The sequence below is a fragment of the Homo sapiens genome, chromosome 7 (assembly GCF_000001405.40).
Source record: "Homo sapiens chromosome 7, GRCh38.p14 Primary Assembly".
NCBI classification, from domain to species: Eukaryota; Metazoa; Chordata; class Mammalia; order Primates; family Hominidae; genus Homo; species Homo sapiens.
In genome coordinates, this window is record NC_000007.14 from 82,842,448 (window position 1) to 82,870,359 (window position 27,912).

General features: G+C 33.7%; 1 protein-coding gene across 7 annotated transcripts in view; it reads right to left on the reverse strand.

Moving 5' to 3' along the window:
* PCLO (piccolo presynaptic cytomatrix protein) overlaps window positions 1-27,912 on the reverse strand; it is a 408,873-nt gene that overhangs the window by 88,436 nt on the left and 292,525 nt on the right. For 6 of the 7 annotated variants that reach the window (XM_017012006.3, XM_047420211.1, NM_033026.6 and 3 more), the window contains 3 exons: window positions 4,692-4,800; window positions 4,120-4,187; window positions 2,824-3,038 (listed from right to left, as the gene is read on the reverse strand). In XM_017012006.3, coding sequence (XP_016867495.1) covers window positions 2,824-3,038; window positions 4,120-4,187; window positions 4,692-4,800 — 392 coding nt within the window. Of the gene's footprint in view, window positions 1-2,823; window positions 3,039-4,119; window positions 4,188-4,691; window positions 4,801-27,912 lie in introns of those variants that run through there. The other variant, XM_047420213.1, reaches the window with a different exon arrangement.

A 27,912-nucleotide genomic window follows, 5' to 3' on the forward strand; every position in this document is an offset into this window, starting at 1 on the left:
ACATAAGGGAAAAGCTCTATGACATTGGTCTGACCAAAGATTTTTTTGGAGATGACTCCGAAAGCACAGGCAACAAAAGCAAAAATAAAAAATAGAAGTACAACAAACTAAAAGTCTTTTGCATAGCCAATCAGCTTCTGCTGATTGTTTCAATCAACAGAGTGAAGAGACAACCTATAGAATGTGAGAAAATATTTGCAAACCGTACATCTGACAGGGTGTTAATATCCAAAATATACAAGAAAGTCAAACAACTCAACAGCAGGAAAACAAATAACCTGAATTAAAAATGGGCAGAGATTTGGAATAGACATTTCTCAGAAGAAGACATACAAAGGACTAAGAGGTATATAAAAAATCAACATCATTAATCATCAGAGAAATACAAATTAAAACCACAATGAGATATCAACTCACCCCAGTCAAAATGGCTGTTATCCAAAAGAAAAAAGATAGTGAGTGATGGTGAGAATGTGGAGAAAGGGAACCCTTGTACACTGTTGGTGGGAATGTAAATTGATATATCCATAATGGAAAACAGTATGGAGGTTCCTCAAAAAAATTAAAAATAGAGCTACCATATGATCCAGCAATCTCACTGCTGAGCATATATCCAAAGGAAACGAGATCAGTATGTCAGAGATACCAACACTCTCAGGTTCATTGCAGCATTATTCACAATAGCCCAGATATAGTACCAACCTAAGTGTCTATCAATTGATGATTAGGTAACGAAAATGTGTTACATATACACAACAGAATATTATTTAGCCTTAAAAAACAAGGAAGTCCTGTCATTTGTAACAAGATGGATAAACCTGAAGGACATTATGTTAAGTGGAATAATTCATGCACAGAGAGATAAATGCCACATTATCTCACTCATATGTGGAATCTAACAAAGTTGAACTTATAGAAGCATAGAGAAGAATGGTAGTTACCAGGGGCTAAGAGAAAAGGAAGGATTGGAATGATGGTCAAAGGGTACAAACTTCTCTTAGAAGGAAGTCAAAAGCTCTGTTATACAACATGGTGACTACAGTTAATAGTAAATGTATATATTCTTCAAAATTGTGAAGAGAGTAGATTTAAAAAAAATTTTTTTAAGCCAAATATTTCAGAGGAATGAAGAGTAGATTTCAAGTGTTCGGACCACAAAAAAATAAGTGAGGTAATCCATGTTAATTAGCTCAATGTAGCCATTCCACAACGTATTCATTTTTTTTTTTTTTTTGGAGACAGAGTCTCACTCTGTCCCCTCCGGCTAGAGTGCAGTGGTGTGATCTCTGCTCACTGCAACTCCGCCTCCCATATTCAAGTGATTCTCCCACCTCAGCCTCCTGAGCAGCTGGGACTACAGGCATGTGCCACCAGACCTGGCTAATTTTTGTATTTTTTGGTAGAGATGGGGTTTCACTGTGTTGGTTAGGGTGGTCTCGAACTCCTGGTCTCAAGTGCTCTGCCTCTCCTGGCCTCCCAAAATGCGGGGATTACAGGCATGAGCCACCATGCCAGGCCACAATGTATACATATTTTAAAACATCATGCTGTACAGTATAAACATATACAAGTTTTGTTAATTAAAAATAATTTAAAATTTAAAAATCTAAGCAATATTGCATGAGATGGTTAATTGCTTAATTTAAAAAGAAGTTGTCTTCAAATATGTTCAAATTGTATTTTTATAACATAGAAACATCTACAAAACAGAATTTAGTATTAATTATGTTGGTATTTTAGTTGGCTAGTTTATGAATTATTTTTAAATGATTATCAAAATAGAGCCTCTATAAAGTAATTATTCAAAATTAGCACATAATTGCTTGTGGTAAAATGTAGTTGTGTTAAAATTTATTTTAAAATTTAGCCTAACTGCCTTTGAAATTACTTTGCTTATGAAGCTTTTCTATATTTAGTTTCAAACAAATCATTTTACGATGCAATGATTAAGGTCAACCTACTTTTGTTGTTTGCTTCTGAATAAAAGGATTCTTTTTTTGGTGACATCTGCTGTATTTTTATAGTTAAAAAACAAACTTTATTTTTTATGTCTGGTCACTTGACCTAAGCATATACAGCCTGTCCTTCCCATATATCTCACCACATAAAGACAAACCTTTATTCATTTTTAAACAAAAGGACACTTTTTTCGCATGTATTTATCAACTACAGGGATAGTTTTTCTTAAGAATCAAATCTATGAGGGAAATCATAAATTTTGTATATTTCCTCTGCTTTTTATAAGGTTAAAAAATAATTTTATGCTTTTTTAAATTCCCCGGCACTTTGAAACAATAGCATTGGAAGCATTTGTTTCGAATGAAGATTTGCATCAATAAAAAAATTCTTAATATGGAATTGAGGATAAAGTTCAAAGTAGTGATAACATGTTACTGGTTTTCCTTGTTTGTTATTGTCTTAAATTTTCTTTATCACTGTGTCCTTTTTACTTTTTACTTAATTATAAAATCTAATGTAATATGTACCTTTTGTTCCAAAAAGATGCAAAGCTAATATTCTATATACGTATCTCAGATTCATGCAACAACAAAGAGAACCAGAAAATATAAAGTATCAGAGACATTTTTCAAGTTCCTCATAATAACTACTGAAATATTTAAAAGATGTAGAAATACATCATCTTGATACATCTTGATCAGTTTTGTACTCAGAAGAGAAAAAATGTTTCTTGTTTTGATAGATCATCTGGAAATGAGAAATCATAAGAAAAATACTTTAGAAAATGATATTTTATTTTCTGTCTCTATGCTGAATAAAGAGCTAGAAAACAAGTGGGTCAGAGGTCACATCAACAATCCTCACCTTGCTGCTGCCGTGCTTCTTTTTGCTCACTGAGGGGGACCCTGGTTGCCCAGGGCTGGGAACGGAACTGGATCCTGCTGATGTAGGACCTGAATGAACATGAGATCCTTTTTCAACAACTGATGACAGAACCAGCGGTGACTGCTGTAGTGAAACCTTCTGGAGTTCTGCTGCCAACTGCTTAGGATCAACCCCTGGGGATTTCGCCTTATCCACTACAACAAAATGAAAGAGATTTACATACTTCTCCATTTCATAGGTACTTTATACCATGGAACTATGTGAGTTCTAGGTGACAAAGGTAAAACATTACCTATAAAATAAGCTAAACTTTAAAAATGAAATTAACTCTATTGTACTTTTATGTATCAATTTCTAAGGAAGTCTACAAGGCTCTGAGAAGAGTGACATAATGCTGAATTACAGAGGAATAGTGAAGTTCCCGTTGCATCTTCAGAAAAATGTTTTTAATATTTTACATAAAGAATTGTTTGAATGATGCAATATCCTATTTTATCCATTGGAACTTAATTTGTATGATTAGCTGTTTTTCCTTCCTTAAATTTTACATAGTTCTTTCTCTAAGGGGAAAATTTTCTAAGGGGAAAATTTTAATGGGTTTATTTATATTTACAAATGTATTAAAATTCGTATAGCACTTGGTCTATTCTGCTTAGTACAATAACCCAGACTACTAGAATTGTGGCTGTCAGAGTAGGAAGTGCTCAACAAAATTTATTAAACATAGGAAAAAGTGATGTTTTTAATCTTACAATGGATTTAACAAATTTGTAGATTATATTTGTTATTCAAGAAAGAGTTAAATCTATCTCATCATGTACTTATGAAATTACATGTTGATTTTTGTTTACTATAAAAAGGCAATGAAAGAGTTCAGGAATAATTTTTTCAAAAACCCAGTTATTCTAAAAAGAATCAAGTACGCTCTAAAAATTATGTAAAACCAAAATGAAATGGCTCCAAGCATTACTTTCACAGGATGAATTCATATTTAAAGAATTAAAACTGTGAACTCATGCAGCAAGGATTTTACGTGAACTTGTTTAAGGGGACTAACATGCAAATATGTATTTCCCCAGAATGCTAACACTGTAGCTACAATGCCCTAGATTTTGTTTATAATTATATAAATACATAAAAAAATCTATCCATAACTTTATATTTGTCTATATCTGTGTTTATGTCTACATCTTCATCTACAATTACATCTGCCTCTGCAATTACTTCTATTTCTATCTCTTTATTTACAGTTGAAACTAGATTTCTTTTACCTACCAGCTTTTGGTGGCTCATGAAGTTCCAGATGCTGGGAATTTTCAGAATCTGATAGCATATTGAGGTCCCTAAAAATTAAAACAAAACATTAAGAAAGATATTGAGGAAATCTGAGACAAAGAGCACTTTTTTCCAACTACCCTTAATTTTTTTCATAGGTAAATGAGAAGTGGTTAATGATATAAAGCAACTCCAAAGCATGCCTACCATCCTAACCCAATATATATTTGCAATGCAGTTAAAAGTCAGAGCTGATAAAAATGATTATTTAAGGTGAAATCTTTATGAATTAAATGTAAGTTCATTTTTAAATACATATCCATGAAATCTAAATGGGTTCAGGCTTTCATTTAAATGAAGCATGTTTCCATAAAAGCATGAAAGGGAAGAGGCTGTTGACACAATCAGAAACTAAGTTAGCTGAATTCTTTCTATGCTTTAGGCTTTGATTCACTTTATTTTATAATTCCAGAAAATCTTGCTAACTGGCAAAGGTTCCACCTTAACAATTTTAAATTAAAAGAGTCATGGATAGCCAAAAAATGGAAACAGAAAGATGGGGAAAAACTCACAGTCTTACACATATTTCTGCTTCCCCACTTTGCTGACTAATGATACTCTGAACTTCTTCATATGTTTTAGAAGTCAAGGGAATTCCATTCCATTCCAATACTTGCATCCCTAGAAAGACAAATTTGAATATAAAATCAAACGTGTGCTATCTCTAGTCTGGGTACATATGGCATTGAAGACATTTATTTGCATTTAGAAGTCAACTCAGCACACCATTTTAGAGAACATCAGTTCCAAGTTCTCTGCAACATTAATACCAAAACCATTATGTAGTTTGATCTCATTAACTTACCTGAACACATAAAATATATTTAATACAACATGCAAAATTTTGCTTTTGAAAATCTGTGTAATATTATCAAACGCATGCATTCTGTTCACACTGCCATAAAAAACATTATTGAATATATATTGCTCAGACCAATTTTGTATAGGAAACAAACAAACAAACAATTAGAAACCCCAATATAATTTTCCTGCGGGGAACAAGCTACTAGAAGAATGTATTTGGTACTTTATCATGAAATGGGAGCAGTAGAAAAAAGTCATTTGGATTTCTCCATTTCAGAAACTGTTGTAGCTTCTATTTTGTCCAGATGAAACAGAATGCCACTTCGTGTCTTTTTCTTCACGGTATGCCAGACATCCCTGAATTGAGGAATAGCAGGAATGTTATAGGAAGGGCAGCTGCAGGGGTCTGTGACCTGTGCACTAGTACAAGGCCCTGTGCTCAGAAAGGCCTATGCTTGGTTTAATGCTCTGCTGTTGTCATCTTGACATTCTTAGTAACATTTGAACAAGGAACCCACATTTTAATTTTGCACTGGGTTTTGTAAATTATGTAGCTGGCCTGGCCTGACCTGGTCAGGGCATTTCATTTTTCCTCTCTATCTAGAAAGATAATTTCATAGAAAAAAGAAAAGTGTAACATAATTAATATTTCAATATTTTACATCTAGCTCCTTTGGTCCATTTTATATGACCTGTCAAAATCATTGAGGGGTCCACGTGTGGCATGATTCACATTGTCCTGACATGCAGCTATGTGAACTGGGTACAGTAGATGAACCCATCCAAGATAGTGCTCAAATATTTGTGAACTTCACCAGCTTTATTTGAGAAAAATGTCTATATACCACAATTATGTTGTTGAACCATTAGTTAGTTTTTTTTTTTTTTTTTTTTTTTTTTAAACAGGTCCCACTCTGTCGCCCAGACTGGAGTGCAGTGGTGTAATCTCTGCTCACTGCAAGCTCCGCCTTCCAGGTTCAAGCAATTCTCCTGCCTCAGCCTCCCAAGTAGCTGGGATTACAGGTGTGCGCCACCACGCCTGGCTAATTTTTGTATTTTTAGTAGAGACAGAGTTTCACCATGTTGGCCAGGCTGGTCTCAAACTCCTAACCTCAAATGATCCGCCTGCCTCAGCCTCCCAAAGTGCTGGGATTATAGGCATAAGCCACTGTGCCTGGCCTGAACCATTAGGTTTTTAATGAGCTTCACAGATGCCTATGTGAAATTACCTATTGATCATCATTGGCTCCAATGGGAAATTCTAAACATGGCATGATTGTATATTTAAAAGTTTTGATGATTATGATATATATTAGAAAGCATATTACCAGTTGCAAGTAAGTAAAGGAAAAACTTTTACACTATAGTCAAATGGTAAAAGAATTCCATAAAAAGGCTCACAATAACACAAACAAGAATGACTTTTCTATAACTTACTCCAAGGAAACTTTATCTTCAGATGGGCCTTAGGTTTATTTCAACAATCCCAGGCTGTTGTACATATAAAATGAGAAAATTATGTAAAAGACAGTGACAACAACACTAAATAAAAATATAGCACGCTGAAAGAGGAAAATAAAGCACTTTTTTTAAATAAGGAGGAAGAGTACATTAATAAACAGATGATTTTGAATTCAATCAAATTAAAGTTATTATATTTCAGAAATTTCATTGTCACATTTCTGCAGGAGCACATACTATGAAAAGGAATAGTCACATATTTTCATGCTTTTTCTGTTGAATTTACCTGTTCATTCTTCACATCCCAAAATAAAAGGGCAAATTTACAAAACAATTATCCTGTAAAATTAAAAAAATGCTTCTAAAGAACTAGTATGGTTAATAAAATCTCTTAAAAAATTATACAGATAACTAGGGTCTCGCCTGGATATACACCTGACACCATAAACTACATGATCTGCTCCATACCACAATGCACCAATGGAAATTCTTTTTGCGCCACCTCAGTTTCCCACCCTAGTTGTTTCAGTGCTGTAGTTCAAAAGAATGGGACAATTCTTTTATCATTGCTTGTTGCCTACAGTGAGACACCATAGGGAAGATGACCACTGAACACAGTCATTTAATAATATTTTCCTTTTCTATTGTCTATCTTCCTACAAATTCTATGAGCCATATTAAAATAATGAATGATATACAGGTATAACAAATCGCTCCTTATTTATCTCAAAAGAGGTTCTAGTAGTTGTGAAAATTAAATATGGCATTTCGAATATATATGAAAAATATTTGTTAATTGTAACATTATATAAACTATTTAAAATGCATGCAAAATTTGTTGAAAATTATTATGATCTGTGGATGTTCAATAATGTATCTTGTCATTTAATAGGTTTGAATATAAGCATTTTTAGTCTCAAAACAGCTTTTCACACTGCGTTTTAGAAAGATTTTCTGGAAAATATTACCCATGTGAATTATGATATGTATTATTTAGTATTATAAGTAAACATTTATATTTTCTTTACATTTAAATTACTACAAATTTCAGGTATGAAAGTACACAGATGAGACTTAAATTCCTTGAAAGTACCTATTTAAATAGCTTATTATTATTATTATTTATTTATTTTTTGAGACAGGGTCTTGCACTATCACCCAGGCTAGAGTGCAGTGGCACAATCTTGGCTCACTGCAACCTCTGCCAACCGGGTTCAAGTGATTCTCCTGCCTTAGGCTCCTGAGTAGCTGGGATTACAGGCACCCACCACCACACCCAGCTAGTTTTTGCATTTTTAGTAGAGACAGGGTTTCACCATGTTGGCCAGCCTGGTCTTGAACTCCTGACCTCAAGTGATCCACTGACCTCAGCCTCCCAAAGTGCTGGGATTACAGGCGTGAGCCACCATGCCTGGCCTTTAATAGCTTTTAATAGGAAATTAAGACAGTCTGGAGTTTTGCTGAATATGTAGCATCGATGATAGGATTTGTTGCAAAGTCTTTTGCTTAATAGGCTACTAAACACTGAAAAAGACAATAATTAGGTAATTCAAGAACTTAGTATTAACATAAAACATTATCAAATATATGTTTTCATAACCTCTAGGATTACTTAATATTGTATGCTCCTTAAATGGGCAAAAGCTATTCCTCTCTTTATAATACAAAATTTCATGTTATTTCTTGATCTATATTTAATATTTACCATCACATTAAAAACATCTTACTGACTAAAATTATTCAGTTAGTTAAAAATCTTACAGGTTACTCTACATCCAAACATATGCCACACAAAAGCTCCTGACGTCTGTTCATTTTATTCATTCCACATGTATTTTTCTAACACTTCATATGTGGTAGGCACTACACAATTCATCACCTTTGCTTATGTCTAACATTTTATGGTGTTATAAAAATTAATAAAAATGATAGTCTACTAGAAAACAATTGGAAATATCTAAGCAATTAGTAAAATAAAGATCATTCACACAGGAGGAAGTTCCAAAACTTTTGCAAGTATATGAAGAAAACCCCAGATTCATTAGTCATTAGAAAGTGCAAATTGAAGCCATAATATATTACCTAACTGTCATCATATTGGGACATATTTGAAAACCATAAAATGCTATGTGTTGATTGGAATGTGGGATTGGTGACCTTGAGTGACTATAAATAGATAAAACAACCCCTTATTTACAATTTATTAACATGTAATTATTTTAATGAGAATGCACATGAGTGCAACTGTTCTGGAAGGCAATCTGGCAGAATGTAGTTAAATTAAGCATATGCATACTCTATCACCTAAAAATTCTTTGTGGGTATGTATTTGTGAGGAGGTGGAGGTATCAAGAGAAATAGGCATTGAGAGCATTGAGAGTGCTGTGAACGCTCACGATGAAAATACTTGGCAGAGGCTGGAAGAAACAGACCATACCAGGTGTTAACACCAGAAGGTGGATCCATCCTGAAGTCTTTGCCAAGTTAAAAACAAGTGAGAAACAGGATCTGACCTATAGGGCAATGTTATTTATGTTGATTTAAATAACACGCGCACAAAATAAATCATTACATATTTTATGAATAAATACCAAGCATCTCATAAATTATAATAGTTGTTCACAGAAGGGAGAGCAGAATGGGAAAATAAGATAGAGGAAAATGAATGTGTTAATAAATGAATAAAGAAATGAAAAAAATGCAGGAGCAGACCTTGAAAAAAAACAAAGGCCCAAACCTAATTTAAAAATGTGTAGTATAAATTATTTGTAATTTGTTTGCTATCTTTTCCATACTAAGATTATTAATCACGACTATAGGTTAATTTTCCAAATTTGAACAATCACTCTCAGGAGTCTTCTATAAAGCGCTAGCAGCAGCAGCAAAAGATCAGCTGAACATGGCCATCTCCCCTGGCGGACTCAACAGCAAACACATCTTGCAAGTGGGGTTCAATACAATTGTCCAAATCAATTATACTCATTGCTCATTCATTTTAATGTTAGGCAGTGTTAATGTATGAGAAAGACATAGATAGAGAAGTGGATTTTATTTTTTAAATTTATATATTTTTCATATTTTACAATTTTGATCTATTTATATATTAACATAAAAGGGGGAAAGGTAAGAAGGATGGAAGAAAGGAAAGAAGAAGGATCAAAGAAAGGAAGGAGTAAAAAGAAAGGAAGGGGGGAATCTTTGGTAAAGGAAAAAACTAGTATTTGAATAGTGTCCTGCTTATTTACAGAACAAGGAGATACACTCAGTCATAATAAGAGATTTAAACTAGGGTATATTTTCCTGAGTATATTTATTTTGAAATATACAATAAACTATTTGTAATGGTTAATATTGAGTGTCAACTTGATTGGATTGAAGGATGCAGTATTGTTCCTGGGTGTGTCTGTGAGGGTGTTGCCAAATCAGATTAACATTTTAGTCAATGAGCTGGGAGAGGCTGACCCACCCTCAGTCTGGGTGGGTACCAGCTAATCAGCTGCCAGTGTGGCTAGAATAAAGCAGGCAGAAGAAGCTGGAAAGAGCCGACCTGCTGAGTCTTCCGGCCTTCATCTTTCTCTAGTGATGGATGCTTCCTGCCCTAGAACATCAGACTCCAAGTTCTTTAGCTTTTGGACTCTTGGATGTACACCAGTGGTTTGCCAGGGACTCTTGGGCCTTTGGGCACTGCTGGCTTCCTACTTTTGAGGTTTTGGGATTCGGGCTGATCCACTACTGGTTTCCTTGCTCCTCAACTTGCAGATGGCCTATCATGCGACTTTATATTGTGATCGTGAGTCAATTCTCCTTAATAAACTCCCTTTCATATATACATATATCCTATTAGTGCTATCTCTCTAGAGAACCCTGACTAATCCACTGTTGTTAAGTATATTCACTCTACTGTGCTATTGAACACTGGATCTTATTTATTCTCTCCAACTGTATTTTTGTACCCATTAACCAACCTCTTTTCATGCCTCACTTAAAATCCTTCCCAGCCTTTGGCAACCATCATTTTATTCTCCATCTGTATGAGATCAACATTTTTAGCTCCTACATATGGAGTGAGAACACGCAATATTTTATTTTCTATGACTGGCTTATTTCATCTAACATAATGACCTCCAATTCCAGCCCTGTTGCTGCAAATGATGAGATCTCATTCCTTTTTATGGCTGAATAGAATTCCATGGTGTATACAGGTACAATCTCTTTACCCATTTATAAAATTTTGAAGTTGAAAAGTGTTGTGTTGAAGAGCTAATCTCATAATAATATTGATATTTTTTAAATTATTATTGCTATTATTTTTATTTTTTGTACTCATGGTTCAAACAAAACTTAAAATAGAGCTTCAATATACAAAATATATAAAAATGGGCCTACTTTCATCAAAGCAGGCTCAATCTGCCTTCTAGCCTCCTCACCATTCTCCAGATCCTATTCTATGGGTACCCTTAGACACACTCTGTTTCCCTGATGTACATGAGTTGTGAGTTTAAAATAACATAACAACCTGAATAAGGGCATAAGAACAATTGCTATTAACTAGGACACTGTTTCTTGAGATGTACTGGAAGGAAGGTACTCTGAATTTCCGTTTATTGAAAATGAAATCTTAATTGGTTTAAAAACTATAATTTTTTTAAACCCAATAACTATAGGAATAAGGCTTTCAAATAGAGCTCTGTGTAATATTTACCATTAAAAATTAAAATTTGCCTATCTCTCAATAAACAGAATACACACTATTTTTATATAGATAAATATTTTCTTTATCAGAAATATGGTTTATGAGCCACCTTGCTGTTGGTAGCTGACTGTTGACATGTTCTTTTCACCCTAATTGAATTGTGTTCACATGTAGTTTGGTTATTTACTAGTTGTTGTGCCCTTGAGCAAGTTGGTTAATCCTCCTTCATCCTTGACTCCCTCAAGGGGATTATACTTGCTAGGTGACTGCTCTAGTTTTATTTCCATCCTATGATAGAGAATACAATATGACAGAATGGGAAACACAAAACAGCTGCTTGTTTACAACTTGTAAATATGCATTTTTTGAGCTGAAGGTTTATATAAGAAATTTAAAAAATACTTTAGGATCCTAAAACTTCCATTTTGTTCTTAATTATTTTCCTTATCTATAGCTGTTCTTGACATATACAGTAAAACTTCCCCAAGCATAGAAATCATGTCATCTAATTTTTCTTTTTTGCACTTCCCACATCTCCTCTCATGGCCCTCTCAGTGGCAGTTGTCCAGGTTCTTTGGCTTTGTCTTTGCTCCCCTGGGTGCCAATGGTGTCCCCCTTACTGAGTTTCTTTTCTCTCGGCATTGTTACATTGTTATATTTGTAACATTTGGATTGGTTAACTCTGCATGGGACATCCAATCTGCAGTCTGAATCTAAATTTGGTTTAAATCTACATGCCAAGCAGACAAATATTTATCATTAATGCCACTAACCCAAAGTTGATTTAAATGCAAAATACCAAAATTTTACTCCATCATACACTTAAAAAACATGTGATACGTCATAATCTTATCTCTTCATAATATAAAGATAATATAATTTTAAACTCATTAAAAATTTTAATGCAAATTTTATAAATGAATATTCTTTCAAATTTTAGTAGTATTAAATATACATACACAGGAGATTTGCAGTATCATCCTACTCTTTTGCTTTAAGTCACTGTATTTTTATATTGAATATAAAATGAATGAAACAGATTGTTATGCAAACTTATATGCTATGATAATATACTCTGTTTCCATTTTTGGGCAGGACTGTTGACAAGAATTCTTTAGATAAATGTTATACAGCATGGATATCTTTTTAAATCGCTCAGAGTTAGAGAAGGTAAATTCTGTATTTGAAACTCTCATTGATTTGGGATGTGATCTTGGACAATTTACTTTCCATGTACTTTCTTTCACTCTCAAATTTTGTGAAGAACAAGCAATTAAAATTAGCAAAGTGTGGCTTGCATATATAAACTCCAAAATGAAATAAATTTACATATTTTTAAAACTTTTCATCACATTTTGAATAAAAGAAATTTAAGAAATACCAAAGACTACAGTTGAATGGTCTGAGCTGACTGGTATTTCTTTTCTAGGTCTGAGTACATTGAAAGTATTTAGAGTCAATGACTTCTTTACTCACATATCTAAAATAGATTTAGCTCCAATCACAAAAAAGTATAATTGTAAAATAAACAGATTCTTACTTATATCACAGTATTAATAGTTAACAATAAAAATATTGTTCAAAAGGATTTCATCGTCAAATGTGTTGTAAAAGCTCAAGTCACAACCATTTTTTAGGCTAATGTTATATAGTAAGCAAGATACTTATAAGTACTGTAGTTTTAATCTGTTATACTATATATTTAAAAAGTGACACCTAAGAGGTGATATAACTTGTCTAATATCCCACAGAATGGTAGTACAGAAATATGAACCCCAACCATCTCCTAGGCCAATGCATGTATCAGTAAATAAAAAAACTAATTCAACTTATGCCAACTAAGCCTACATGCTAGCCTACCTGAAGGCAAACTATGTTCAAATATGTGAAACTTAGCAAAAATAACATATATTATTTGTAATGCCATTTAAATTGCAACATAATATGATAATTTGGAAATTTTATTAATTGCCTACATGCTGATATTATTTGGAGGCTTGGACATGCAAAAACTGAAGACATTATTGAACGAAGAGAAAGTTGCTGTGGGATATATCACTTATGGTGAGTAAACAGTGACAGAAATGAATAAAATTTGATTGGGTCTCTTATCCCTTTTCCCCATCTCACTCCCAGAAGAGAAGACAATGTCGTATTTCTCCAGGGAGATTGATGAAAAATTATGCTGAATCTTACTGGGAAGAAAAATAATGTAAGAAGGATGAAAGAATAGGAGGTGCAGATTCAGTGCTAGGGAGGAAATGGTGGTTGGAGGTTCCAAAGGAAGTAGGGACCAGCATCCTGCTTGTTTATATTGCCTATGGAAGATGTCTGGCATATTTTTTCAATAAAAATTGCCAAGAGGTGCCTTTAGAAAGTTGAACACTAGATTCTGTGACTCTCAATGTAGGCAAAACTACTCTTGTGAAAACTTGGGCACAGTTAAGGGAGCTACTCATTATCAGGAAAGTGTGCTAGCTTTGACATTGCACTCTTAGTGGCGTGGACTGATGTACAGAGGCCCAAACTCCAGTGTTCTAGAATGTGTAATACCCTCACTGGGAAGTTCCTCAAGGCATGTGGTGCAGGAAACACCAAATGATGAATGCAATTCAATTTCCTACCAACAGATGAAAGAAAGATTGGACTTGATTACATTTGATTTACAGAAAAAGTAATATTTCTTATACTCAAATATGACTGTTGCAAAGATATGCTTTTTAAACATACTTAGTGTGAATAAGGGAATACAATTAGCCATGATTTGTGGACCAACCTGTTAGAAGATTATCATGATAAGATTCGATTTCTAATCACCGTGACCACTAAAACAATCCAGTCCAGTATTTCCTTGAAGGATTGGTATAGATGCCAAAAGCCACTTTATGGCTACAGTTCATTGTATGTCTCATTCTATGTGTTATTTGGAACAGACTGAATCAGAAAGTGGCTGAATGAGGCAGAATAAGGGATATGAGTATATTAGTATAATTTGATTGGCCCCTAGAAAATAATGTTACATGGGGAGTTATCCAATAATAGATATGTAATGTCATCATCTCACTTGAAGTAGATTGCAGTTTATAAGTTTATAACTTCTTCCTAGTTTAATATCACAATTTATTTGTTAGAATGCTCAGAATGGATGTTTTTTACTAACTTTCTAATAAAATGATATTAACAGATTAATACTGGTCTGCTGTGGTTTGAACGCCTCCTCAAAAACTCATGTTGCAATTTAATTGCCAATGTTATGGTATTGGGGGGTGGGTAGGGCCTTTAAGAGATGATGAGGCCAAGCCCTAATGGATGGATTAATGCCATTATTTCAGGAGTGGGTTAGTTATCCCAAAAGTGAGTTCCAGATACAAAGGATGAGTTCAACCTGATTTCCTTACTCTCTCTGTGTTGTATGCTTACTTGAAAGAGCATGCCTCTTCACTATTTTATGACACAGCAAGAAGGTCCTCTCAAGATGCCAGCACTGTGATCTTAGACTTATCAGCCTGAAGAACTTTAAGAAATGAATTTCTTTTCTTTATAAATTACTCAGTCTCTGCTATTCTCTCATAGTAGCAGAAAACAGACTAAAATGCTATCAAATCTTATGAATACCATAATCATTTAACAATAACAAACTAAACCAATACTATATGGATTGTGTAGAAATCCACAATTAATTGAATGGACTTAGGAAGCTAGGGTAGTTGATGCACTTAGGAATGAGAAATGCTTGCCTTAACTGTTGCCTCCTCTGCTTTAAGTATTCTTACTGAATTATTAATAATTTAACTTCAGTTATGTTGATAACCTTTATGATATTCATATATTCTGTACTGTTCTTTTTTAACTGTTACTTAAATGTATCTTACTACTCAGATGATAGATTTTAACATAAAATATCACTTTATACTAGGAAAGTGTCTCCTAACAAATATAAATGCTATCTGAACTAGTGGCAAAATCATCATCACTGCCACCACCATCTCCACTGTACATAGATATAAGGACAATATAAATTTCATTTTATAACATAATTTGACAGATAAAATACCCAGAAGTTTGCATAGATTACTGAGGTATAACTTTAAAGCATGTGTAAAATGAGATAAAATGGAAATCATGTTTCTGAAAAAGAAAGTTAGAAGAAAGAAATCTCTCAATCAAAATTTAAGAGTAAAAGGAAAATTCAAATATATTCATCCTATAGTATAAGAAAATAAAATGTTTCTTTTGACAAAGGAGGAGAGAGGTTTTATCACAACCCAAATATTAAAAGTATGCTTCACAAGAAATAATACAACATGGTCAATTGTTATGTATAAAAATGTTAATTAAAGATTAATATTTTAATTGAAGAGGAAGAAATACTTCCAAACTCATTGTATAAGGCCAGTATTACCCTGATACCAAGGCCAGACAAGGATGCTACAAAGGAAAATTACAGACCATTATCCCTGATGAACATAGATGCAAAACTTCTCAATAAAATACTAACATACTGAATTCAACAGCGCATTAAAATGATCATCCACCATGATCAAGTGGGATTTATCATTGGGATGCAACAAGGTTTCAACATATGGAAGTCAATACACGTGCTACACATTAAAAAAATGAAGAACAAAAAGCATATGATCATCTCAATAAATGTAGAAAAAGCATTTGACAAAATTCAACATCCTCTCATGACAAAAAACTCTCAACAAATTGTGTATACAAGGAATATACCTCAAAATGTTAAAGTCCATGTATGACAAATCTGCAACTAATATCATACTCAATGAAGAAAAGTTGAAAGTTTTTCTCTAAGATGTTGGTATCCATTCTCACTAATTCCATCAACATAGTACTGGAAGTCCTACCCAGAGCATTGGGAAAGAAAAAGAAAGAAAATACATCTATACTGGAGAAGAAAAGGTTAAAATTGTCTATTTGCAGATGACACGATGTTATATATGGAAAACAGTCAAGACTCCACCAAAATACTGTTATAATTAATAAACAAATTCAGTAAAGTTACAGGATATAAAATCAACAACAAAAATCAGCCTATACTATACTCAGCTTATACTATGCACTTCTAAACACTGACAAACTATCTGAAAAAGAAATTTTGAAATATCATATATGATAGCTACAAAAAGAAACTATTTGGGAATAAATTTAGCCAAGAAGGTGAAAAATCTATGCACTGAAAATGATAATACTGATGAAAGAAACTAAAAAAGACACAAATAATAGAAAAAATACTATGCGCCTATGGATCAGAAGACTCAATATTGTTAAAATGTCCATACTAACCAAAGTGATCTGCAGATTAAATGCAATCCCTACCAAAATTTCAATGTAATTTTTCATAGAAATAGAAAAAAATCTTGAAATTCATGTGGAACCACAAGAGATATGGTGTCTATGGGGTGAGGCTTGGCTCCTCTGAAAAGGCAGGGAAGAGTGGGAAGGATTGCGTTTGGTTGTTTGAGGGCCAGCTCAGCTGCAATACAATAGAACACCAGGTAGACTTCTAAGATTTTTGACTCTGGTTCCTGACTCCTGGATGGCACTTCTGGACCCACCTGGGGCCTGGTGGACCTCACCACCCTGAAGGGAAAGACAGGCCTGGCTGGCTTTGCCACCTGCTAATTGTAGAGTTCCAGGGCTGTGAGTGAACATAGGCAATAGACAGGAAGTGGTTATAGCAGGCCTTGGGCAAGATCCAGTGCTGTGCTGACTTTAGGTCTTACCCAGTGTAGTCACAGTGATGTTGCCCACAGGGGTGCTTGTGTCACTCAACCCCCAGCTTTAGGTGGCTCAGAACAGAGAGAGACAGACGTTATGTTTGGGAGAAAGTAAGAGAAGAGAACAAGAGTCTCTGTCTGGTAATCCAGAGAATTCTCCCAGATCTTGTGCTACACCACCAAGGTTGTACCTTTACAAGTCTGCCAGAACCACAGCATTACTGGGCTTGGGGTGCCCCCTAAAGCAGACATAGCTTAGACCATAACACCAAGTCATTTGAAATATCTGGAAAGCCTTCCCAAAAGGACAGTTACAAATAAGCCCAGACAGTAAAGACTACAGTAAATACCTAAGGGTCTTCAATGCCCAGACAGGAAAACATGACCTCACCTAATGAACTAAATAAGGCACCAAGAAACAATCCTGGAGAAACAAAGATATGTGACCTTTTAGACAAAGAATTCAAAATATTTGTGTTGAGGAAATGCTAAGAAACTCAAGAACACAGAGAAGGAATTCAGAATTCTATTAGATAAATTTAATAGAGTATGAAATAACTAAAAGGAATCAAGCAGAAATTCTGGAGGTGAAAAATGCAATAGATGCAACTGAATAATGCATCAGAGGTCTTTAATAGAAGAATTGATCAAGCAAAAGAAAGGATTAGTGAGCTTGAATACAGGCTATTTTAACGTACACCAAGAAGACAAAAAAAGAGAGAATTTTAAAAATAAAGCACACCTACAGGATCTAGGAAACGCCTCAAAAGGGCAAATCTAATAGTTATTGGCCTTAAAGAGGAAGTAGAGGAAGAGATTGGGGTAGAAAGTTTATTCAAAGGGATAATGACAGAGAATGTCCCAAACCTAGAGAAATATATCAATATCCAAGAACAAGAAGGTTTTAGAGGGCCAAGCAGATTTAACCCAAAGACAACTACCTAAAGGCATTTAATAATCAAACTCCCAAAGGTCAAGGATAAAGCAGCAAGAGAAAAAAAAATAACATACAATACAGCTCCAATACATCTGGTAGCAGACTTTTCAGTGGAAACCTTACGGGCCAGGGAGAGTGATATGACTTATTTAAAATGCTGAAGAAAAAAATCTTTTACGTTAGAATAGTATGTCTGGTAAAAATACCCTTCAAACATGAAGGAGAAATAAATACTTAACCCAGACAAAAAAAAGCTGAGGGATTTCAATACCAGAGCTGTCCTACAAGAGATGCTAAAGGGGGTACACTTCAATCACAAAGAAAAGGACAGTAATGAGCAATAAATAATCACCTGATGGTCCAAAATTCATTGGTAATAGTATGTACACAGAGAAACACATATTATTATAACGCTGTAACTGTAGTTTGTAAACTACTCTTATCCTAGGTAGAAGATTAAATGATGAACCAATCAAAAATAATAACTACAACAACTTTTCAAGACATAGCATAATAAGATATAAATAGAAACAACAAAAAGTTAAAAAGTGGGGGGATGAAATTAAGGCATAGAGTTTTTATTAGTTTTCTTTTTGCTTGTTTGTTTATGCAAATAGTGTTAAGTTATTATCAGGTTAAAATAATGGGTTATAAGATAGTATTTGCAAGCCTCAAGGTAACCTCAAACCAAAAAGCATATGATATATACGCAAAAAATAAAAAGCAAAAACTAAATTATATCACTAGAGAAAATCATCTTCACTAGAGGAAAACAGGAAGGAAAGAAAGGAGGAAGAGAAGACCAGAAAATAAACAACAAAATGGCAGGAGTAGGCTCTAACTTATCAGTAATAACATTGAATGTAAATGGACTAAACACTTCGATCAAAAGATATAGAGTGGCTGAATGGGTGAATAAACAAGACCCATTGTTCTGTTGCCTACAAGAAATACACTTAACCTGTAAAGACACACATAGACTGAAAATAAAGGGAGGGATGAAGATATTTCATGCCAATGTAAACCAAAAATGGGAACCTAGAAATTAATAACAGGAGGAATTTTGGAAACTATTCAAGTACATGGAGTTATTACACTTAGAAAAAGTAGATTCCAAGACAAAAGCTATAAGAAGAGACAAAGAAGTTCACTATATAATGATAAAGAGGTCAATTCAGCAAGAGAATATAACAATTGTAAATATATATGCACCCAACACTGGATTACCCAGATATGTAAGGGAAATATTGTTAGAGCTAAAGAGAGAGGTAGGCTCCATTACAATAATAGCTGGAGACTTCAAAACCCCATTTTCAGCAGAAAATCAGACAAAGAAACATGAGACTTAATCTACACTATAGACCAAATGGATCCAATAGATATTTATAGAACATTTCAGCCAAGAGCTGCGGAATACACATTCTTTTCCTCAGCACATGGATCATTCTCAAGGATAGACCACATGTTAGGTCACAAAACAAGTTTTAAAACATTCAAATAATGGAAATCACCAAGTATTTTCTCTTACTACAATGAAATAAATCTAGAAATAACCAGAGGAATTTTGGAAAGTATTCAAATATACAGAAATTAAACAATATGCTCCTGAATGACCAGTGGATCAATAAAGAAATTTAGAAATTGTAAAATTTCTTGAAACAAACGATAATGGAAACACATACTAAAACCCATGCAAAAGCAGTACTGAGAGGGAAGTTTATAGCTATAAGTGTCTAAATCAAAAAGAGAAAAAAGTTGAAATGAAAAATCTAATGACGCATCTTAAAGAACTAGAAAAGCAAGAGCAAACCAAACCCCAAATTAGTAGAAGAAAACAAATAATAAAGAACAGAGTGGAAATAAATGAAATCAAAATGATAAAAATACAAAAGCTCAACAAAACCAAAAATTGGTTTTTTGAAACAGATATATGAAAAGGTGCTTAACATCATTGATCATCAGAGAAATGAAAATCAAAACTACAACAAAATATAATTTCACCCCAGTTAAAATGGCTTATGTCCAAAAGACAGGCAATAACAAATGCTGATGAGGATGTGGAGAAAAGAGAACCCTTGTTCACTGTTGGTGGGAATGTAAATTGCTACAGTCAATATGCAGAAGAGTTTGGAGGTTCCTCACAAAACTAAACATTGATTTATCATATGAACCCACAATCCTACTGCTGGGTATATATCCAAAAGAAGGGAAATCAGTTTATTGAGGAGATATCTGCACTCCTATATTTATTGCTACACTGTTTACAACAGCTAAGAATTGGAAGCAACCAGAGCAAGACTCTGCCTCAAAAAAAAAAAAAAAAAAAAAGAATTGGAAGCAACCTAACTGTCCATCAACAGATGAATGAATAAAGAAAAGGTGACATATACACAATGGGGTACTATTCAGCCATAAAAAAGAACAAGATCCAGTCATTTGTAACAACATGGATGGAACTGGAGATCATCATGTTATGTGAAATAAGCCAGGCACAGAAGACAAACATCGCATGTTCTCGATTATTTGTGGGATCTAAAAATCAAAACTATTGAACTCATGGATATAGAGAGTAGAAGGATGGTTACTAGAGGTTGGAAATAGTAGTAGGGAGTTGGAGGGAAGGTGGGGATGGTTAAAGGGTACAAAAAATAGAATAAATAAGACCTGCTATTCGATGGCACAATAGTGTGACTATAGTCAATAATAACTTAATTGTACATTTCAAAATAACCTAATGAGTATAAATGTATTGTTTGTAACTCAAAGGATAAATGCTTGAGGGCATGGATACCCTATTCTCCATGATGTGTTTGTTTATCTTTGCATGCCTGTATGAAAACATCTCATGTACCTCATAAATATATATACCTACTATTTATCCAAAAAATTAAAAATTAAAAAGTTATACTTTGCTTACTTTGCTTATATTGGAGTCAATTATACTACATGATTATTATGAATGATATAATCAAAATTAAAAGGGTAAAGTTGATGCACAATTTCTTTCATAATTAGAAGTGTCAAAAGATGTAAATAACATAGAGAAGTCAGTTCAAACAACAAAAATATCAGTAACAATTTTATCATCCTGAGAGAATCTTCAAAGAAATAAAATTATGTGTCAAGTTATTTCATAAAAAGTGCAAATATTCTGTTCTTTATATCACAATGAAGAATTAGCAAATAATTCACTTTGACTTGGTAGATGTTTAATAAATAACATAAAAAATCAAATGTCATTTGATCCCTGAATTCCATTTGAAAAGTTATCAATCTCTTTAATAAATAGAATTCAATTTCAAATGTTATCAATGTTAGAGTGTATACAATATCCTGCAATAATTGATTTTCCATTGAAAAATAAGAATTGACTAAGAAGAAAACAGTTTAACAGCAATTTCTGCCAACTGAATAGAATAAAACTTAACTATGTTCCCTCCAGCTTTCTAATATTCATGTAGAGAAATTCTTTCTCTAATTGTAAATAGGATTACAACTGTAAAAGTAATGGCAATATAGTTCTATATGAATTATAGAGGGTTTTCATATGTATACCATCTGATTGGTGGTTATTTCAGTTAAAAGGAGTAAAATTTAACCCATTTCACTTGTGGTAATACCTTCGGTATTAATAAGGAGCACCAATACAGGACTCACACAAAAAAGTTATTTTGCCCATTTTTTTTCTCATTTTATCTTCACAGCAATCCAGTAAAATAGATAGGGTAAGCAAATCCCCATTTTCACAATAAAACCCCCATAGTTTTAGAAACCACATTTGGTGGCAGTTTGAAAAGCCAGGTCTCCTCATTCCTCATCTAAGTTATTTTGGTATTATAAAGGTTTTTTTAATTTTTAAGTTATACAGAATATCTAATTATAAACTTCTGGCTATTTTATAGCTAATATCTTAGATGTAAGTGCATAATCAGTATAAATAAATATATTGAATTACAATAAAACATCACATCAAGTCCACAAATATTTAGTCAGTAAGTGCCAAAGAGAATACTAAATTCTGGGCCACTTATATCAATTAGTTATAATTTCTGACATGATTACTCCTACTATGGAGTAGGAACATCATGAACAAATGCTCACAGAAGGCAAATAACATCATGGATCTGGGATCAGAGTGGGGCTGGTGGGTGTATAGATGGGAGGTGAGAATGGATAAAGATGAGTTTGTATAGCTGGAATGTGTTGTGGAAGGCTTACAGCTAAAATTTTATTTGGACTTAATTAATTTTCTAATATTAAGACATAAAAGGAAAGGTTTATAATAATTAGATCATTATTTTAAAAACATCTTGCCATTTGGAGAGGATGTATGCATTTCTCCTCCAACTTCAGCAGGTTAGTTTCAGTTTCTTTTGTGTTTTCTCTGTTTCTTGTACACACTTCTGTTATCCTCAAAACGTTATACTTTAATTTATTCAGTTATGTAATTGCCTCTATTTTGACAATGGAGACACTAGTGAATGACAATTTGCTGAATGAATGAATGGATAAAATCAGAGAGACTGGAAGCCCGGAGAATGGTTAAGATTTAAAAAAAATAAGACAGGAATTCAAAATTGCAATTGATTATTAATTCTTACATGAAATAAAATTTTCAGAAAATATTGTCATGATGAAAAAATAGGACTGCTGAGAATCAGTTCTTGGAATCAATATAGTACTTAAATTCATTTTTTCCACAGTTTATTAATGCAAACTGTCTAAGCACTCTAAAATATTGAGAGATTTTATTCACCTTTGTTCTCATAAATAAAGTGATATTGATACAGCCATAATTTTCTTAAATAAAGAAGTATTACAGAATGATTTTCCTTCATAAACATTAAAACTGTGGCTCTTGGCTGCCTTTTGTCCTACTGAGATGCAAATTACAAATGATAGAAATAAAAAAAAAAATTGAACTGCCACCTGTAGAACCACACAAATGCCGGGCATGGCGGCTTACACCTGGAGTCCCAGCACTTTGGGAGGCCAAGGTGGGCAGATCACCTGAGATCAGGAGTTCGAGACCAGCCTGACCAACATGGTGAAACCCCGCATCTACTAAAAATACAAAAAGTAGCCAGGCATGGTGGCCAGCGACTGTAATCCCAGCTACTCAGGAGGCTGAGGCAGGAGAATCACTTGAACCAGGGAGGCAGACAGTGCAGTGAGCTGAGATCGCGCCATTGCACTCCAGCCTGGGCGACAGAGCAAGATGCCGTCTCAGAAAAAACAAACAAACAAACAAACAAAAAACCCACAAATATACATTTATATGGTATATTTCCTACTAAAATATATGGATTTATTGTGTTAATTTAAAATAAGATGCAAGACTTAGATACAAAATACTCTGTTGGCTTGCTGTATTATGCAGGGATTTAAGTTTTTAAAAAATGGTGAAGGGATTTTGGCTTATAAATATGAATACCTAATAAATGAATGAACATATTGAGATCATTTTCATTAACTAAATTAAATACACATATTGTGTTGATACATATGTATATCTATTATACATATATATAACTATTTCTTAACACCTCCCTGTTCCCACCTTGGTCTTAACTTACATAGGTTCTTACCAACTCTCCTTGCTTCTACTCTTTACCTCTTTAAAACTATTCTTAATACAGCAGTAAGAGTGATCCTATTTAAACGTCATTCAGCTTATGTCAGGTCAATTGCGTCTCATCTCACATAAGTACACGTTAAAGTCCTTACAATGGCCTGCAAGATTTGACCCCTGCTACTTTTGGTATCCGCTCTTTCACGTGTTCACTCAGTTTCAGCCACGTTGGCTTCCTTTCTGTCTTGCTGTTCTTGGCACACAACAAGCATGCTCTTGCTCAGGATATTTGTGTCCTTGTCACTTCTCTGCCTATAATGCAAGACAACTCCCAGATCATTCTTTCCCCTCCTTGGTGGCTTTACTGAATTTTTGCCTACTTGCCAAAGCTTTCTCTTACCACCTCACCTCAAATTGCAACCACATCCTCCTACGTGCCATACCCACCCTCCTTGCTATATTTTTCTCCTTAGCGTTTATTATCGTCTAATATATGATACTTAATATATTATATGAGATATATTTAACATTTATATATGATATTAATATTTGTTATAATCTGTCTTAGCTATTAGAATGTAAGACCCATGCTTTCTTCACTGAAGCCCTCACATGTCCAAGAAGAGAAATTACTTTATACAATATGTACTAAAAAAAACTTTGAAAAAATGAATGAATAAATAATGGCATTCAGCAAACTCAAGTGCTGTGGCTGACAGTGACTACGATTTGGGGAATGAGTAGAGTGTAAAAGGAAACAAAAGTAGCTTAAGAGAAAAATAAAGGAATCTTATTTTCCTTCACTACTCTCAATGAAATTTTATACACACACACACACACACACACACACACACACACACACACACCCCTTTAATATGAATTTCTTGAGGACTGAAGTAAAAACCTGCATTCTTGTAGGCTATTGTTTCCACTTCGGCACTTATCATTGTATCTGGAATAGTACTCCATAACTATGCTGAACTATTAAAAATTAATTAAAATAAATGAGAACCTTAAAAGATCTGTATAGTTCCTGGACAGTGTCTTGCCCTCAGGAGCTTATAGTCTGCTCTTAGAAACTACCTGAAGGTTAGTTGGAATTCTTTCGAGTGGGGGAAAAATCTGTAAGCTCCATTTAGTCATGGTGTTGGTTCTAATGCAAGCAGAGTCAACCAATGTATTCTGCATTTCTTTATTTCTGTATTTTCTTTCAATGAAACTAAAAGAATACATATATCAAAATTAAAAGGAAGACAAACATCATTAATTTTAAAAAAAGAGTTTTGGTCCAGGTGCAGCGGCTCAGGCCTTTAATCCCAGAACTTTGGGAGGCTGATGCAGGAGGATCGTTTGAGCACAGAAGGTCAAGGCTAGCCTGGGCAACATGGCAACACTCCTGTCTCTACAAAAAATTTAAAAGAATTAGCATATGTGGTAGTGCATGCCTTTTTACTACTTACAATATTCTAAGCATGACATTATGTTTCCTATATCTTATTCCTAAATTTGATAACAATTTTGCCAACTATTATCCCAGTTATCCAGCTAAGAACACCTGGGTACTAAAAGTTTTAAAAAATCCAGGCAATAAGTACCAGATCTGAATTTAAATCCTGATCTAACTCTAAAAGCATGGCTGTCTACAAACCACTGGAGATACTAAAGCATTGGCTGGTGGAAGATCTGGTATGGATATTAAAAAGAGAGGTTAGCATCCTTGCTTCCAAAGTAACCACTCCAAGCTTACGAAAAAGTGCAGTCTATTCCAAGAAATATTGGTTAGACAAATCCGGAAATCTAACTGTAGGAACAATTGTTCCTTATGAAGCAATATCACTGAACACAGAAATACCTCAAAGTATGTCAACCTTGATGAAGGCAATCAAATTAGGATTTGGGGCATTGTACCACATAAAACAGGACATTATTTAGTTTCCTTCATGTCCCTATCACAAAGATTATAATGTAAGCATAATTCTCCTCTGATAAATTTCAAAATAAATGGATAAAGAAGAGAAATATGTTTCTTTGTACTGGCAATGTATCTAATCACTAGTATCGTGATGTGGTGTGATATCACTACATCTTGAAAATAATATATTAGAACCTATCAGCCCAGGGACCAGTAATTTGTATTTTTCTTCACAGAAGAGAGTTTCCTAAATATATATTAGAAAATCTTCATATCAACATGATATGTGGTCTGTGTCATGTGTACCTAACGCACCAGCTTTAAGGAATTTTGAGAAATCTCATGCTAATGACCAATCCGTACCTGGTAATCCCCCTGGAACAAGAACAAGGAAGCTCACTCATCTGTGTGCTGTGTTTCTTGATCTCCAACCTTGATCACTGCCATGCCATCTGTAACATATGCCAAAAAAGCATAAGCAGAAATAGAGACTTTCTTGCCTAGGAGCATTCTTCCTTATGTTATGCTGGAGTGCGTCCTCTGTCCTCTAGTAATGCTACTGGAATTAGCTCTTCTACCAAAGACTTTTTCATGACAAGGAATTCCAGAGGCCAACTTCTAAAATCAAAACCACCACTCCAAAAACAGCTAATTTCATCCTTACTTCAATCCCTGATTCTCAGCATTACATCCAACAGCATTTTCTTGCCAGAAACCCTGTCAGTTCATCTTTAAGAAGAAGAGCAAGCTAGCTGGACCAATTTCACTCACCTACTCTGAAACAACTAAAAACTAAGAATATAAAAGTATGCATGAACTATAATTCATGTCACAGAGGCATTTCCTCACAGAATACCTATGGACAAACAATGAAGTTTCTCTCATTTCATTACAAGTCTTATGGCCTTGGACGTGCTTACTTGCCATGTAGCTCTGGCTAAATCTATAAGCAAACATAGGATATCACTGGTTTTAGCTTTGTGCTCTTCCATGCTGTGTTACCACTGATTCATTAAGAATGTTCTTGAAGACACATTCAGATTTTAATGTTATATTTCTATCTTAGCTCCAAAGAGTTTTACAAAAATTTTCTAAATTTATCAATTATAATAATATAGATACAAGTTATCTTCAAAAGATTTTATTAAATTAACAAAGTTGAACAACTTATCAATATAAACAATTGTTTTAGGTTCATTGGATATATGATATTTAGTCCTTGTGGATTCATTGTTCTCTTACAAAAATTGCTGAAGTTTTAAAAGTATCACGATGGTAATGTATTTCACAATTATGTTATAACACAGACAACTAGGATGAAAATTAATTTGGAGAACTAGTTCAAAAAATCCAGTGATTAAATAAAGCTTAGAACCAATGATATGTATATAAAAGTTTAGATTTAGTCCATGATATTAACCAAGTAAAATTGATTTTATCTATATTTTCTACTCTACCTTTTCTGGAGATATAATATTGGCATAAATTGATAAAACCATATAATATTGTTAATAAGTTTAACAATTGCTATGGATAATTGTTTTAATGTCCTAACTCTTGTTATTGTATTAATTCAGAATACAATGACTAAGTCTCTAAGTAGAGCAAAAACCTGCATTGTGAACTTATTGAAGACTCAACTGGACATGATTATATGTCTAATTTTTTTCCAAATTAATCAGTCTCTTCAATGAAATTACTATCAAATCTCAACAGAGATTGTCATGAAAATTGAAAAACAGATTCCAGAATTTATATGCAAAACCAAAGGGTCAAGAATTGTTCCGAGAGCATCCTGACAAACGGCTCTAGGATGGATCCACCTACGAAATGCCAGGATTTAATATAAAGATGTTACAATTAAAACAGTGTGATATCGGTGTAGGGATAGAAAAATAGACCAGAACAGAGAACCTGGAAAAGATCTGTGCATGCCTTTTAAAACTTAATATATGACAGATGGGACTAGCAGATCAGTGTGAGTAATAATACACTATTCAAAAAATGGTGCACAGTAGTAGTAAAGAAAAATAAGAAAGCAATCCTATTTAAAACAGCTACAGTATAATGAAATACCTAAGAATAAATTTAACTAAATAAATGAAAGATCTTTACAATGGAAACTATAAAACATGAAATATCTTTTCATTCTTATGTGTCCTCTTCAATTTTTTCAATGGATAAAAAATAGAAAGGACACATAAAAAATGGAAAGATATTTCATGTTCATGGATTGAAAAAATTAATATTGTTAAATGTCCACACTATGCAAAATGATCTGCAGATTCAATGCAATCTCTATCAAAATATCAATCAATGTCATTCTTCACAGAAATACAAAAAAATTTCTAATAGTTGAGTGGAACCACAAAAGGCCCTGAATAGACAAAGCAATCTTAAGTGAAAAGAACAAAGCTGGAGGCATCACACTGCCTGGCTTCAAAATATACTACAATGGTATACTAACCAAAAGAGCATGGCATGGCATAAAAATAGACACATAGACTAATGGAACAGAATACAGAACCCAGAAATAAGTACATGCATTTACAGCCAACACAGTTTCAACAAAGGCACAAAGAATATACGCTGGCAAAAGGATAGTCTTTTTAAGAA